This window comes from Homo sapiens, chromosome 13, assembly GCF_000001405.40.
Source record: "Homo sapiens chromosome 13, GRCh38.p14 Primary Assembly".
Taxonomy (NCBI): Eukaryota; Metazoa; Chordata; class Mammalia; order Primates; family Hominidae; genus Homo; species Homo sapiens.
In genome coordinates, this window is record NC_000013.11 from 102,604,245 (window position 1) to 102,619,494 (window position 15,250).

At 38.5% G+C, this 15,250-nt stretch overlaps 1 protein-coding gene across 8 annotated transcripts in view; it reads left to right on the forward strand.

Moving 5' to 3' along the window:
- Window positions 1-15,250, forward strand: part of TPP2 (tripeptidyl peptidase 2) — an 82,973-nt gene that overhangs the window by 7,259 nt on the left and 60,464 nt on the right. For all 8 annotated transcript variants that reach the window (NR_160411.1, XM_005254070.3, NM_001330588.2 and 5 more), the window contains exons 2-5: window positions 549-677; window positions 9,857-9,952; window positions 12,152-12,256; window positions 14,478-14,602. Coding sequence is in view for 7 of the 8 variants with exons in the window: in XM_005254070.3 (XP_005254127.1) it covers window positions 549-677; window positions 9,857-9,952; window positions 12,152-12,256; window positions 14,478-14,602 (455 nt within the window). In the remaining variant the exon portion in view is untranslated. The remainder of the gene's footprint in view (window positions 1-548; window positions 678-9,856; window positions 9,953-12,151; window positions 12,257-14,477; window positions 14,603-15,250) is intronic.

The window sequence follows — 15,250 nt, forward strand, 5'->3', positions numbered from 1 at the left end:
GCTCACCATCTTTAGATCTTTTCTCAAATGTTACCATCTCAGCAAGGCCTTCCTTGACCAGCCAAACTTATGTTGAAAACCCCACACTGACCATCTCCCTTCCCTGCTTAATTTTTCTCCATAGTTAATTTTCACCATCTGACATGTTCTTTTTTTTCCCTAATACCCAGTGTGATAGCACATCTGACATGTTCTTTATTTTACTTTGTTATTAACTGAACTGCTTTCTCGCTATAAGATCGTCAGGGATTTTTGCGTATGGATCACTGCCATATCCCCAGCACCTAAAATAGGGTGTGGTCTATAGTAAATGCTCAGTAAATATTTGTTTATTGAATATATGAAACGACTTGAAGGATTCTGTAGTGTTTCCACGATTAAATTTTCTTACTAGTATTTGTTCAGGCTTTTGGCTTAAAACAGTTCAGTTCTCTTTTTTAAGTGAATGTAGATTTTGTATATACACACACATATATATGTGGATTTGCATTGTTTAGGAATAAAAACCTAAAATCTACCATTCATATTTTAATTTTCTTAATTTTCAGGTTACAACTGATGGAAAACCAAAAATCGTTGATATCATTGATACAACAGGAAGTGGCGATGTGAATACTGCTACAGAAGTAGAGCCAAAGGATGGTGAGATTGTTGGCCTTTCAGGAAGAGTGCTTAAGGTGAGACCTTTTGTCTTCTTTTTGAATTTTTTTTTTTTTACTCTTGCCTCAAAGCATCTAATGTTTTTACCTTACATTTGGTGGTGGTATTAGTTATCCATTGCCACATATCAGATTACCTCAGAACATCCTGGTTTAAAATGACAAATATTTATTACCTCGGAGTTTCTGTGAGTCAGGAATCTGGGTGTGGCTTAACGGGGTTCCAGTCGCCCTGGAGGTTGCAAATGGTTAGCCATGGCTGTGACTTCAGCTGAAGGCTCAGCTTGGGAGAAGAAGGGGAAGTTTGTTTCCAAGCCTACTGGTGGGTCACTGGCAGGCCTTGGCTCCTTGCCATTGGGCCTCTCCGCAGTGCTGCAGTACCTGGCAGCACCTTCCCTGGGGGAGTGAGCCGAGAGAGTCCCCACGATGAAAGCCACAGGCTTTTTATAAAAGTGACCTTCTAAGGGACCACCTATCACTTGACTATATTGAGCTCATTGGAAGTGAGTTAATAAATCTAGCACACACTTAAGGGGAAGGGATTTCACAAGAAATGAATCATTGGAGCTGTCTTAGAAGAAGCCATTATTTTGTTGTTTGATGAGGTAATTAGAATTGGGCGGTATTTTTCAGTGAGCTTGCCAAATTTTATGTTTTGAATACAAAGATAGAGAAAGTAACCACATCATAGCTTTGCCTTCATGTTTTACTGTCCCTTCATAGTATTCCCAGTTAACTTGACCATGAAGAAATACTTAGGCTATAGTAGCTGTTAACTTAAATGGCCAGCTTTGTCTTTTTTTTTTTTTTAAACTTCTTTTTTTCTTTTTTTTTTCGAGACATAGAGTCTTGCTCCGTTGCTCAGGCTAGAGTGCAGTGGTGCAATCTTGGCTCACTGCAACCTCCGCCTCCCGGGTTCTAGCAATTCTCCTGCCTCAGCCTCCCAATTAGCTGGGATTACAGGTGCCCGCCACCACGTCCAGCTAATTTTTGTATGATTAGTAGAGACAGGGTTTCACCATTTTGGCTAGGCTGGTCTCGAACTCTTGACCTTGTGATCCGCCTGTCTCAGCCTCCCAAAGTGCTGGGATTATAGGCGTGAGCCAGGGCACTCGGCCTACCAGCTTTGTCTTATTCTATGTCCTTGGTAGAAAGGCCTGGGTAAGCTAAACGTAAAAAATAATTATAAAGCAAGCACAGAGGAGCTCATGAGCTAAGGAGCATGAAGGATGGATGGCAAGAATTTGTGATCCTGTACTCTTAAGCAGCATTAGTTTGGAACATAAAATTATGGTTATTTAGTTAGCTTTTCCCACCTTTTGCCATCTATCTGAATTGTTCTTAGGTCTTGTCTTTTAAGTAAGCTTGTTGTGGCAGCATATTGGCTTTCTGTGCCGTGTAATAAAGCACCACAGACTTAGCCGCCTAAAACCTTGTGTATTCCTGTATTTATTATATCACTGATTCCATGGGGTAGGAGTCCAGGCATGGCTTTTTGTGGGTCTCTGCTCAGGGTCTCACAAGACTGCAGTCAAGATTAAAGGCTCAGCTGAGGCTCAGGCTTCTTTTCCAAGTTTACATGATTGTTGGAAAAATTCATTTCATTGCAGCTGTAAAACTCATGATAGCTTGCTTCTTCAAGGCCAGTAAGAGAATCTCTGACCTTGGTGATGACCCCAGTCTTTCTTTTAAAGAACTCACCTGATTAGTTCAGGCCCGCTGAGAATCATGTCACTTTTGATTTGCTCAGAGTCCTTAATTGCGTCTGCAAAATCCCTACACCTTCTTTACGTACCATAACGCAATCATGGGAGTGACATCTCATTATATTCACGGGTCCTGCCTTCACTTAGGGGAGGGACGTGGGTCTTCTTAGAAATCTGCCTGTCATGGGCAGATAGCAGCCATTAATAATCCAGGTTCTACTTCCTTTTCTGTGTGTTAGGAACTGATTATCTGTGTCCCCACCCCCTGCCAAAATTCATACATTGAAGCCCTATCCCTCTTTGTGTTGGTATTTGAAAGTTGGGCCTTTGGGAGGTATTTAGGGTTAGATGAGGTTATGAGTATGTGTCCCCTCAGGATAGGATTAGTACCCTTATAAGAAGAGACATCAGAGAGCTCTCTCTAGAGCAAGCTCTTTCTAGGGCATATGAGGACACAGCAAGAAGGTGGCCTCTGTAAGCCAGGAAGAGGGCTTTCACCTATGCTCAACCATGCTGGCACCCTGATGCTGAGCTTCCAGCCCCTAGAACTATGAAAAAATAAGTTTCAATTGTCAGAGTCATCCAGTTTACGGTGCGGGTTGAGAATCCCTTATCTGAAACGCTGGGGACCAGAAGTGTTTTAGGTTTCAGATTTTGGAATATTTGCATTGAATATACCAGTTGAGCCTCCCTAATCCAAAATCCGAAATGCTCCAAAATCCAGAACTTTCTGAGTGCCAACATGACACTCAAAGGAAATGGTCAATGGAGCATTTCAGATTTTCGGGTTAGAAATGCTCAGCCTTCTGAATTACTCTAGAGTTTGGCCTGTCTTCCCCCAAGTCAACCTTGTTATTAGAATATGTTTCAAAGGGAAACTTGGGATTCCTGTGAGCTATGGTACTCTGAGAAGCTAGAGAGAATTCCTAGTAAGTCTTGCAGGCTTAGAGCCATATAAAGTATTACTCGAGCATTTATTTATTTATATTAATTTTGAGATGGAGTCTTACTCTGTCGCCCAGGTTGAAGTACAATGGCACAATCTCGGCTCACCTCGACCTCTGCTTCCTGTATTCAAGTGATTCTTCTGCCTCAGCCTCCCGAGTAGCTGGGATTACAGGCATGCGCCATGACACTTGGCTAATTTTTTTGTGTGTTTTTAGTAGAGATGGAATTTTGCCATGTTGGCCAGGCTGGTCTCAAACTCCTGACCTCAAGTGATCCACCCACCTCGACCTCCCAAAGTGCTGGTATTATAGGCATGAGCCACCATGCCTGGCCTCATTTATTTTTAAATAGCTGCAGTAATCCCGGCTTTAGATAAACCACATGAACTAATAATATCACTAGTGTTCAAAGGTAGAATTATATGTGTACCATATGTATTGCTATTAAATAAAGTCAAAAAAATTATAAGGTTTGTCTTTTCTCAGCTTGGTGACGTATTTCTTTAGCTCTAACATTAAGTATTCTCAGCCCCTCATTGTGGGTTTTTAAACTTAATTTTTAATTGTGTTCAGTATGTCTTAATAGTTTAAAAAGACAAATATTTTTACAAGGCTTCTAACAAAAAGAGTTAAATCCTGTCCCACTTCTCCCCTACTGTTTTCTACTTTAACAGTACATTAATACATTAAATTATCTTCAGTTTAAAATAACATGCTAATATTTTTTATTTCTTGATTTTTTTTTCTAGTCTTAATCTTTACTTGTAGAATTAATATGTGGAAGAAGAGAGTTTAATTCTCAGGTCCTTTATTTCCAAGAATTTTTTTTGCATTTTCTCTTAGGTAACTTCCTCTCCGTTGTTTTGCTGTTTTTTTCTGGAACTCCTGTTAATTGAACATTGGACCTCTTGACTTGATCCTCCAATTTTTAAATTTTTTTCCACCTTTTCTTCATTGCCTTAATCTTTTTCCTTCCTGAGAGATTTCCAGCATTTTCTCAACATTGTAACCCTTGTGTGAATTTTTTAAAATTTTGCCTATTTTTAATTGCAAAAGCCCCTTCATGTTCACTGGGAGCATATTTTTGTATCATGTATGCAACATTTTATCTCTGAGATAAAATTTTAATTTTTTTCTATTTCATTGTTTCTTCCCTCCCCTTCCTCCTGTTCTCCTTTCTTAGTCTCCTATTCTGCTTCCTCCTCTCCTTTCTCCCTTTTTCTTCACCCTCTCCTTCCTCTTTCTCTGCCTCCTCTTCCTTGTTCTCTGCTTTTTATGTTAGATATTTTGTTTAGGTGTCTAATCATCCCTAGCTGTCTTATTTTAGCAAGGCACAAGAAAAGGTGATTGGAAGCTCCTCTGCTTATGTAGGGTCTTTTGGTGGGTTTCACTATAGGGTAATGATAACATTTAGGGGAACCCCCATAATATCAGTATACACTATATTTTTTTCCCTCAGGATGCCCAGTTACCTTAAAGAAGTCCTTAGCCCATTTGGCCTGGGGTTTAGGGGAGGAGTGAGCAAGAAGTCTGGCCGTAGGTATTCAGGTAACCACACCATGCAAGGGGCCTGGAGTGATGTCATGCAGACTCATTTTTATGTCTCATCCTTTTTGTATTAGTTCCTTTTCACATTGCTATGAAGAACTACATGAGACTGGGGAATTTATGAAGAAAAGAGGTTTAATCGACTCACAGTCCTACAGGCTTAACAGGAAGCATGACTTGGGAGTCCCAGGAAACTTACAATCATGGGGAAGGTGAAGGGGAAACAAGACATGTCTTCTCATCATGATAGAGCAGGAAAGAGAGCCAGCAAAGGGAGAAGTGCCATGCTTTTTTTTTTTTTTTTTTTTTTGAGACGGAGTTTTGGTCTTGTTGCCCAGACTGGAGTGCAATGGCGCGATCTCAACTCACTGCAACATCTGCCACCCGGGTTCAAGCGATTCTCCTGCCTCAGCCTCCTGAGTAGCTGGGATTACAGGTGTCTGCCACCACACCCGGCTAATTTTGTATTTTTAGTAGAGACAGGGTTTCACCATGTTGGCCAAGCTGGTCTCAGACTCCTGACCTCAGGTGATCTACCTGCCTCAGCCTCCCAAAGTGCTGGGATTACAAGCGCGAGCCACCGTGCCCAGCCCCCATGCATTTTTAAACCATTAGATCTTGTAATAATTCATCATCACAAGAACAACAAGGGGGAAATCCACCCCCATGATCCAGTCACCTCCCACCACATCCCTCCCCTGACACGAAGGGGTTATATTTCGACATGCGATTTGGGTAGAGACAGAGCCAAACCATATCACCTGTTCTTTGCTTTGTTGACATGTCAGCTTTTCTCTGGTTCAGCTTGGTTGGTGAAGTTTGGGCAGGATGTGGGATGGGGCAATGGGAGTGCTCTTATACAAATTTTCCGCCAGTCTTCTTAGTCAGAACTCTCTTCTCCATCCATCCATAACATGTACTCACACACATGTTCAGTTTAATTTTTTTCAGGGATGTGCAGGTGTTTAGATATTTTGCAGTAGTCAATAAAAGGAAGAATTATTAATCACTGGGATTCTGACTAGTTGCATCTCTGCAACTCTTTAGTACATAGTTTTCAGAAAGCAGCACAATGAAGTCTTCAAGTTTCTTTGATGTAGTCGTGCATTTATTTATTTATTTATTTATTCATTTATTTATTTATGACAGAGTCTTGCTCTGTCGTCCAGGCTGGAGTGCAGTGGTGTGATCTTGGCTCACTGCAACCTCCGTCTCCTGGGTTCCAGCAATTTTCCTGCCTCAGCCTCCCAAGTCGCTGGGATTATAGGCACCCGCCACCATGCCCGGCTAATTTTTTGTATTTTTAGTAGAGACTGGGTTTCACCATGCTGGCTAGGCAGGTCTCGAACTCCTGACATCAGGTGATCCACCCACTTCGGCCTCCCAGAGTGCTGGGATTACAAATGTCAGCCACCGCGCCCAGCTGTCATGCTTTGAAATGAATTAAATGTTTATAGTCTGTTTTTTCCACATAGCCCATAAACTGCTAACAGACTTTTATTTTTCTGTCAGTTTAAGATCAACTGTTAAGTTAGGTGCTTTGAACACTTTAGTAGCCTCATTCTCTAAGGATGATATTCCTAGGCTTCCTTGAGAAACCAGTGGTAAGCTACTTATGACCTATGGTACTCCCATGAGCAGATAAAAGTACAAAAGTGAATAGAACTTTAAAACCTTTTATTGCAAAATATACATACATAAAATACATAAAACACATATATACAGTTTTATGAATAGTATAGCTAACACCATTGTACCCACCCAGATCAAGATAAAGAGTATTGCCGTACATCAGAAACTTCCTGCATCCTCCTATATCACAGCCTATTTCAACTTTTGTGATAATCATTCCTTTGCTTTTTTGTGTGTAGTTTTACCATATCTGTGTGGCTACATAAAATATATTGTTTAGTTTTGAACTTTACATAAACAGTCTCATTTCATTCATAAAATTTCATCATACGTCATTTTTCCCTTGGTGTTGTGAGATTTCAGATTCCTGAGACTTGCCCATGTTGTCACGGGCAGCAATGATTTATTAAGTTTCATTGCTGTGCAATATGCCATGGTTTGTACCTACTACATTCTATCCATTCTGCTGTGATGTGTGTGTATCCTGTGCACATGTGTGTGGATGTCTCCAGAATGTGTGCATAGGAGTAGAATTGCTGAATCATGGAGATATGTCACTAGGTCATGCCAAACAGTTTTTCCAAGTGCGTGTTTGTTTGTTTTTTAACTGGACAGGACATCTTCTTGACCAAGTGTCTGTATTAAAGGACATTTCCAGGCCGGGCACGGTGGCTCACACCTGTAATCCCAGCACTTTGGGAGGCCAAGCACTTTGGATCATCTGAGGTCGGGAGTTCAAGACCAGCCTGACCAACATGTCGAAACCCCCTCTCTGCTAAAAATACAAAAATTAGCTGGGCATGGTGGTGCACACCTGAATCCCAGCTACTAGGGAGGCTGAGACAGGAGAACACAGAGGTTGCAGTGAGCCAATATGGCGCCACTGCACAGCAGCCTGAGTGACAGAGCGAGACTCCTTCTCAAAAAAATAAAAAAAAGACATTTCCACTAGCAGTGTATAACAAATGTTTTCTGACCCCATGATCATAGAGATATTCTCCTATATTTCTAAGAAGTGTCACAGCTTTTCTCTTCTGTTTGTTCTAGAATTCACCTGGAAGTGATTTTATATGCTTAGTTTGAAGAGTTCTGTTTCCTTTTTTCTGTAAAAAGACCCAGTTGTCCCAACACCATGTGTTCCACAATTTTCACTCTAATTTTTAATGCCTTCTTTTCACTTGGCACCCTTCAAAATGTGGTGAGCTTCTGAAGTCTCTTTCGTATTCTCTTTGTCCCTTCGTTTTTGGATGCTTCCCCGACTTCCTTTATTCTAATTTTAGTAGCATTTTGGAAGGAAGCACAGTACCTTTTTCATTTTACCACATTTAACTGGAAGTCATTTTAAAAATCAACACTTAGTCTTAAATATTTTTGGTTTTTAAAAAAAATAAAATAAAGATAAATCCAGGCATAATGAATGACTTGGCCAGATTCAGCATGGTACTTAGATGCAGTGACAGCCAAAGGAAACTGTGCGTGTGCCCTGGCCTGTGTGATGAGGCTGGCAAGACTGAAATCATTTGGAAGCAAAAGCCTCTAAGAGGGCTTCACTGCATGGTACCCTAACACTCAGATGACACTTAGCCCGTTAAGAAAAATGTTTGATTTGTTAGGCATCCTCTCTTTAAGAGAGTCAGAGAAATGAGGTGTAATTGGTAATTAAAAAGATTACGTGTATCATATGACAATCAGTCTTAATACATTGTAGTTACTGTGTTATTAGAACCATTTTTAAGATACCAACCTAAAATGGTCAAATGTAAAGATTTTATTCTTAGAAAAAATAACTTTGTTTATGTAGAATACTCAAATATGCAAAATAAAATTTCATAATTGCCTCATAAAGTTAGCTTTACTCTAACTTGGCTAAAGTTAGATCAGATAGCCCAGATTATAACTTTTATCTGATTTTTTTGGTGTAATTTTTGTAACTAGTCTGCCTTCGTGGTAAGGAAGATACATAGTTGTGATTTGAGAAGTATCTGGTTCCATGGACCGTGCAGACTTTGATCTCATTTATAATTAAATTATGTCTATTGGATTGTTTTTATTGTACTTTATGTTTTTTTAAGAAATTGTGATTAAATATAACTTAACGACTTTCTATTTTGCAGTTATTTTAATTAGTTACTTCATTTAATCTTTTGGCATTTCATGATTTTCTGTAATGTCTGTACAAAGAAGTTGCTGCTAGCCACCTGTGTAGTGGGACAGTAGTGAATAAATACTTGGAATTTAAAAGCTAGTGACTACTTCCCTTTTTGTTGTTGCAGTGCTTTATTGTTTTGCCGTGGGCTGTTGCAAAAACATTAAAGTTCAGAATTCCTATTCTTTAAAGAAGGTTCAGTTTTGAGTGAAAAGTGCTAGCTTGTATGCCAGCGTGTTTGAAATTACACATTCTGCAGACATCCAGTTGATTTGGAAGTGATTAATGGCACAGAGGCCTTCAAAAGGTCACTATTTAGTATTAGCTCCTTGAAGCTCTGTGAATGATTGTTTTCCTCTATTTAGTTGTGAGGAAATTTCATCCAAAAGTTTTCTGCCTGGGAAGTAATTGGATGAAGGACATGGGGATGAGTTAAAGGTATTGCACAAGTGAGGATTGATGAGGCTACCAGCTCTGAGTGTTTCAACCTTGTCATTTATACATATTTAAAAGCTGGTTTTGATGACCACGGTTCCATGATTGCAAAGAATATGAATACTCTACATTTTCTTGATTGATCATTCATGTTGGTTGATGCTCAGTTCACTTTTTTGTTCACAAGAATAAGGTAGAGATTTTCTTCCTTTTACAGATGAAGTAGAAGCCTGTGGGTTCCTTCTAGTTAGTGATAGAGTTTGGATTCAGAGCCAGATTTATCTGACTTTAAATCCCATATCCTTTATACAGAATTTTTGGTTTCCATGATAGAACTAGGTTCCAGTTTTCAACTTTCCTCTTGTTCAGGCAAGTAATTTGATTTCTCTGCTGCTTTGCTTTCTCTGTTTGTAAACTAGGCGTACTGTTTGCATCGCTCTACTAAAAGTTTAAAGTGTTTTAAAACACTTTGAGATCGTTTAAAAGATTATTACAAGATTTTAGCAGTTTATTGAGATAGTGTATGTTGAAAGCACTTTTTAAACCATGAAGCATTGTATAAATGAAGGTATTATTCTAGTTGAATTATTTATGGATGAGAAAAAAGAAGTGATAAAGACATTAAGTAACTACTTAGAGTATTAAACACGTTGTTGTACATGAGCATCCTTATCCAATTTAAGCTTATTAGAGTAGAAGTAATATACTTTTTTGCTCAGTAGTGTATCATTGGAATTGGAAAGCATTTAGTGAATGAACAGGTTACTCTTTTTTTTTCTGTAGATTCCTGCAAGCTGGACAAATCCCTCAGGCAAATATCATATTGGCATAAAAAATGGCTATGACTTCTATCCTAAGGCACTCAAGGAAAGGATACAGGTAATGTACAATCTGGTACCAATGAGTTGTATTCTTCTGACTTGTCTTCTTCCTCAGATTTTATTCCTACTGAAGAAAAAGAAATATTTCATAAAATCTCATTAACTTAGTTTTTTGGGTGGTTGGTGGCTTTCAAACAATGACTGCTTAAAGATTCTGCTCAATGGAATGTCATCCGTGTAAACTTGTGATTCTTGATCTTGGGTACATGGATAAGTTTAGGGAATCTGTGAATACACTGAAATTATATTCAGATTTTTGTGTTTTTCTGGGAGATGGGATATAGCTTTCACTGGATTTTTGAAGGACTTTTTTTTACTTGAAAAAGGCTAAAGACAGTGGATTCAAAATCCAGACCACCTTTTCGTTTCTGTTCCTGTAGTTTCTGTGATAATGTCCCTCCCCTGTTTAACTAGCCTTCTTGCTCCCAGTTAGTCATCATTTAGTGTTAAGGTAAGTGTTAATTCAGTCCTAAAACTGCTGAAGTGTAAGAAGTACCAGTGTGCCATTAGAAAAATAAGAGTGGTAAGCAGAATGATAAAGAGCCTGCTTTAAAACAGTTCAATAGAACTTTCTGTGATAATGGAAATGTTTGAAATGTTCAGTTTCTGCTCTAACCATTATGGTAGTCACTAGCCATGTTGCTATTGAGAATTTGAAATATGTTTAGTGTGACTGACGAATTGAAATTTTATCTTAGTAATATTTTAAAATTTAAGTTTAAATAGTGTCATGTGGCTAGTGACTACCGTTTTAAGAATGCTGATACAAGTAGCTGATACAAGTACCTAATACAAGTCCAGGGTTGCAGCTGTAAAATAAGGTATAATCCTGGGAAGTGAGCTTGATGGATAAGATGTGTGGGGCCTTGCCTCTGTCGTGTTATTTCCCCAAGGGCCTGTGAAGCATAAGAAGTTACTCAGATTACCTTATTTGTCAGTTTCTAATCATTCTGCAAAACAAACAAGAATAATGCGTATAACTTCTATTACATAATATGTTATTTTAAAATTTCAGGCTGGAATGCAGTGGCATGATCACAGCTAATTACTGCCTCAACCTCCTGGGCAATCCTCCCATGTAGTTGGGACTACAGGCACGCACCACCACACCCATCTAATTTTTGTATTTTTTGTAGGGATGGGGTTTCACCATGTTGCCCAGGCTGGTCTCGAACTCCTGGGCTCAAGTGATCCGCCTGCCTCATTCTCCCAAAGTGCTGGGACTACAGGTGTGAACCATTGCATGACTGCATTTTATATAGTATATTAAATGTAATCAGCTGTGTTGATAAGATGTGATTTAATATGCAAATATAGTGTTGTTGAAGTGGACTGTTCCTTTAGCTGCGTTGGGAGTTACCGTGAGTTAAAGACACTGAAGATAAAGGTTAAAACCAATTTCAGTGACATAGAACCCTATCAAGTCAAAGAGGATGGAAAAAAAAATAGGGAGGACATTGAGGATGCCTGCATTGTCTGTCAAAATGCAGCTGTAGTCTTACTCTAGTCCTCTGCGTACACTAGGCTTATGGCATTTCCCAATTTTGTATGGGCCCAGAATACAACATTTTCTTCCTTTTAATGACTGGGAATTCAGTCAGTATTCTTGGAGAAGAGAAGGTTTTAAATTGGGGAATATGATACATAAAAATACATCTGGATGTGTCTTGGTAAACTTCTCTTAAACCCTGGGTGCAATGAATTGACTAACCAGTTTTTAGTAAGTGATCCATGGCTTTATCTGCTTCATTAGAAACTTTTTTTTTTTTTCTCTTTGAGACAGAGTCTTACTCTGTTGCCCAGGCTGGAGTGCAGTGGCTCAATCTCTGCTCACTGCAGCCTCAGCCTCCTGGGTTCAAGCGATTCTCGTGCCTTAGCCTCCCAAGTAGCTGGGATTACAGGCACCTGCCACCCCACCTGGCTAATTTTTGTATTTTTAGTAGAGACGGGGTTTCACCTTGTTGGCCAGGCTGGTCTCGAACTCCTCACCTCAGGTGATCCGCCTACCTCAGCCTTCCAAATTGTTAGGATTACAGGCGTGAGCCACCACACCCGGCCAAAAATGATTTTTTAAAACCTCTCTATGAGAATTGTGTAGTATCACAACTGTACCAACAAAGTCCACATATAAATGCCTGTCTAGGTTTACCTGAGTATTTGTCAGCCTAATTGTAAGGTAATTTTTCTGTCTTTGCAGAAAGAACGGAAGGAAAAAATCTGGGACCCTGTTCACAGAGTGGCCCTTGCAGAAGCCTGTAGAAAACAGGAAGAATTTGATGTTGCCAACAACGGCTCTTCTCAAGTTGGTGCTAGTCGATTTCATTTAAACATTACCCTAGAACCATATTCCCATAGAGTTTCTACAGAACTAATAGACTGTTTTTCCACAAGTTTTCTTTTTTCACAAATTTTCTTTTAAGTTGGTTAATTTTACTAATTTTTCCTTTATTATTTATCCTCAAGTCAATGTACATATGTATGAATTTTTAAAATTTAACACATAATACACGTAGGGTAAAAGTACATAAATTGTGTTTGGTTATGAATTCTCCCATGAAAGCTGCACCTAGGAATTTCTCTTGTGCCCCTTCCTTGTCACTGCTCCCTTTTTCCTTCCGAAAGACAACCACCACCTTGACTTCTAACACTGCAGATGATTTTGCCTATTTTGATTTGTGTAAAATGGAACCATATAGTATGGTTTTGTTTTTTGTTTTTTGTTTTTTTTTTTTGAGACGGAGTCTCGCTCTGTTCCAGGCTGGAGTGCAGTGGTGTGATCTCGGCTCATTGCAACCTCTGCCTTCCGGGTTCAAGCTATTCTCGCCTCAGCCTCCTGAGTAGCTGGGATTACAGGCACGTGCCACCACACCCGACTAGTTTTTTTTTTTTGCATTTTTAGTAGAGACAGGGTTTCACCGTGTTGGCCAGGCTGGTCTTGAACTCCCAACCTTGTGATACGCCCACCTTGGCCTCCCAAAGTGCTGGGATTACAGGCATGAGCCACCGTGCCCGGCCTATGTATTCTCTAATTATATGTATTATTGTCACTTTTAAAAAGGGTTTCAAAATACTTCATTTTTCAGTTAATATATTAGACCTCAAGGTCCTTGTTTCAAAACATGGGAGGGTGTAGTCCTTGGTTCCCATATACTGATTTGTGGAATTGATACTGATGAACTGATTATCTCTAAGTCACCTGAATTATTTTAAAAGTAATTAAGTTTTCCGGGCTTTATCCCCTGATAATTCTGATTTACTAAGTGGGATTAGAAACAGCATCGATGTTTGTGATAGCCTTTACATGATTGTGATTTGCGTGAAATTTAGTAATTATTGGCCAAGATAATAATTTGCTATCCTACTAGTTTCTGATGTGACAGCCTCAGATTATCATAAGGACAAATAACTTGCTCAGGATTGCACAGCTAAGTTGCTGAATTGAGATTTGAATCCATATTTCTTCCCTCTAGGTTAATACTCACACCACACTATTTATAGAAGGCAGATTGATTTTAAGCAATATTAAGTGCTTTTGATCAAAGACGACTACCTTTTTCAATAAATTGCCAAATAGTAAATATTTTTAGTACTCTCTTATGACTGCTCAACACTCCCCTTGTATCATGAAAACCTAGGCAATATGTAACTGAACCAGGAAGGCCATGTTCCAGTAAAGCTTCATTTACACAACTTTGTCACAGGCTAGATTTGGCCCATGCACCATGATTTGTCAACCCCTGCTGGATCTTAATATAGTAACATAGTCTAGAGATATTCGTCTCAATTTCAGTATTTATATGCCTTTCTATCTCCCAGCTTATTTCTGTTTAAACCAGTCATTTTCCTAATTATTTGAGTACCTAACTTATTTTTTTATATACACTCTAGGTTAGAGAAATGTTTTGGAGAGGTAACACCTGCTAGTGCCAGTTGTTGTCTAGTGTGTACGTAATCGAATTTAAAGCACTTGGTTTTATTCATGACCACAGAGCTAAAATAAGGCTTCACTTACCCCCATTAAATGCTTCTATTTAACATAGCAGTTTCTAAAAGATATAAGATGATTCATGGGTTTTATTATTTATTTGGATTCTTAAGAAATAAATTTGAGATAGAATAGGTCCTGATATAAAAATCTAAAAGTCAATAGATAACCTATTTTGTAGCAGTTTTAGAGTTGCTTTTGGAAATAAGTTAGATAACAAATATGTAACAAGCATATCTTGGCTAAATGGAATCACCAACGTGTAGCACAGTGTATTTCCCAAAGCAGGCCTAGTGAGTGAATAAATGAGATTGAGTAAAATAACTGTTTTTTAGATCTTTATTAATTAGATCTGTATTAATGGGTATCTGCTTCATTGAATTGAATGACAAGTTGCATAGATAGAACAAAATTTTCTTACATTTTTTCAGGGTAAAATAATTTTACTATGGATTAACATTGTATCTTTGGCTGTATGTTAATACAACTTTTAGAAGGACAGAATGTACTAATGTTAATCAGTTTTCCAACTGACTAGGCAAATAAACTAATCAAGGAGGAACTTCAAAGTCAAGTGGAATTGCTAAATTCTTTTGAGAAGAAATACAGCGATCCTGGCCCTGTATATGACTGCTTGGTATGGCATGATGGCGAAGTCTGGAGGTAAACTTCGTGTATTTTATACATCTTCATTTACAAATGTTTTCTTTTCTACTCTGAAAAACATTAAATGCTCAGAGCTGCACAGAATTTTGGTTTATTCGTGATATCACTCAGCAAAATCATTTAAGGGCCAAATTGGCATCTGGGTAGTTTTGGACAAGCCCCTTGAACTTCTAGTTATAATTATTGACACTAAACCTGACTTTTATCTGATTTAAATAAACTTACTTCATTAATAATTTATTAGTATGTTGACCATCCGTATATTTGGAAATGTTTCCTCATTTGTTAATTGAGATAGTGGTGCTTACAGGGCTTTGTGAAAATTAAATTTGATGTTTCTAGATATAGTAAGCAATCAATGTACGCTGTTGCTGCTGCTGTTTCTATTACTAAAACTAATAATAATAATGCGATTTATACCAAGTTACCCATCATGTACGTTTTTTAGTTTCTTTTTTAGTGCCTTATATACTGCATATGTGCTTCTTGGAGTTGATTAGTCTGCCTTCTTGAGTTACTATCTGCATGAAAACAGGAAGACATTGTTAATACAGATATTTAGCCATATGTGTGCTTTAGGATTTCTGCAAAAAAAAAACAAACAAACAGGGACTATTTCTTAAACTTGTAGTCAAGAATTACTTG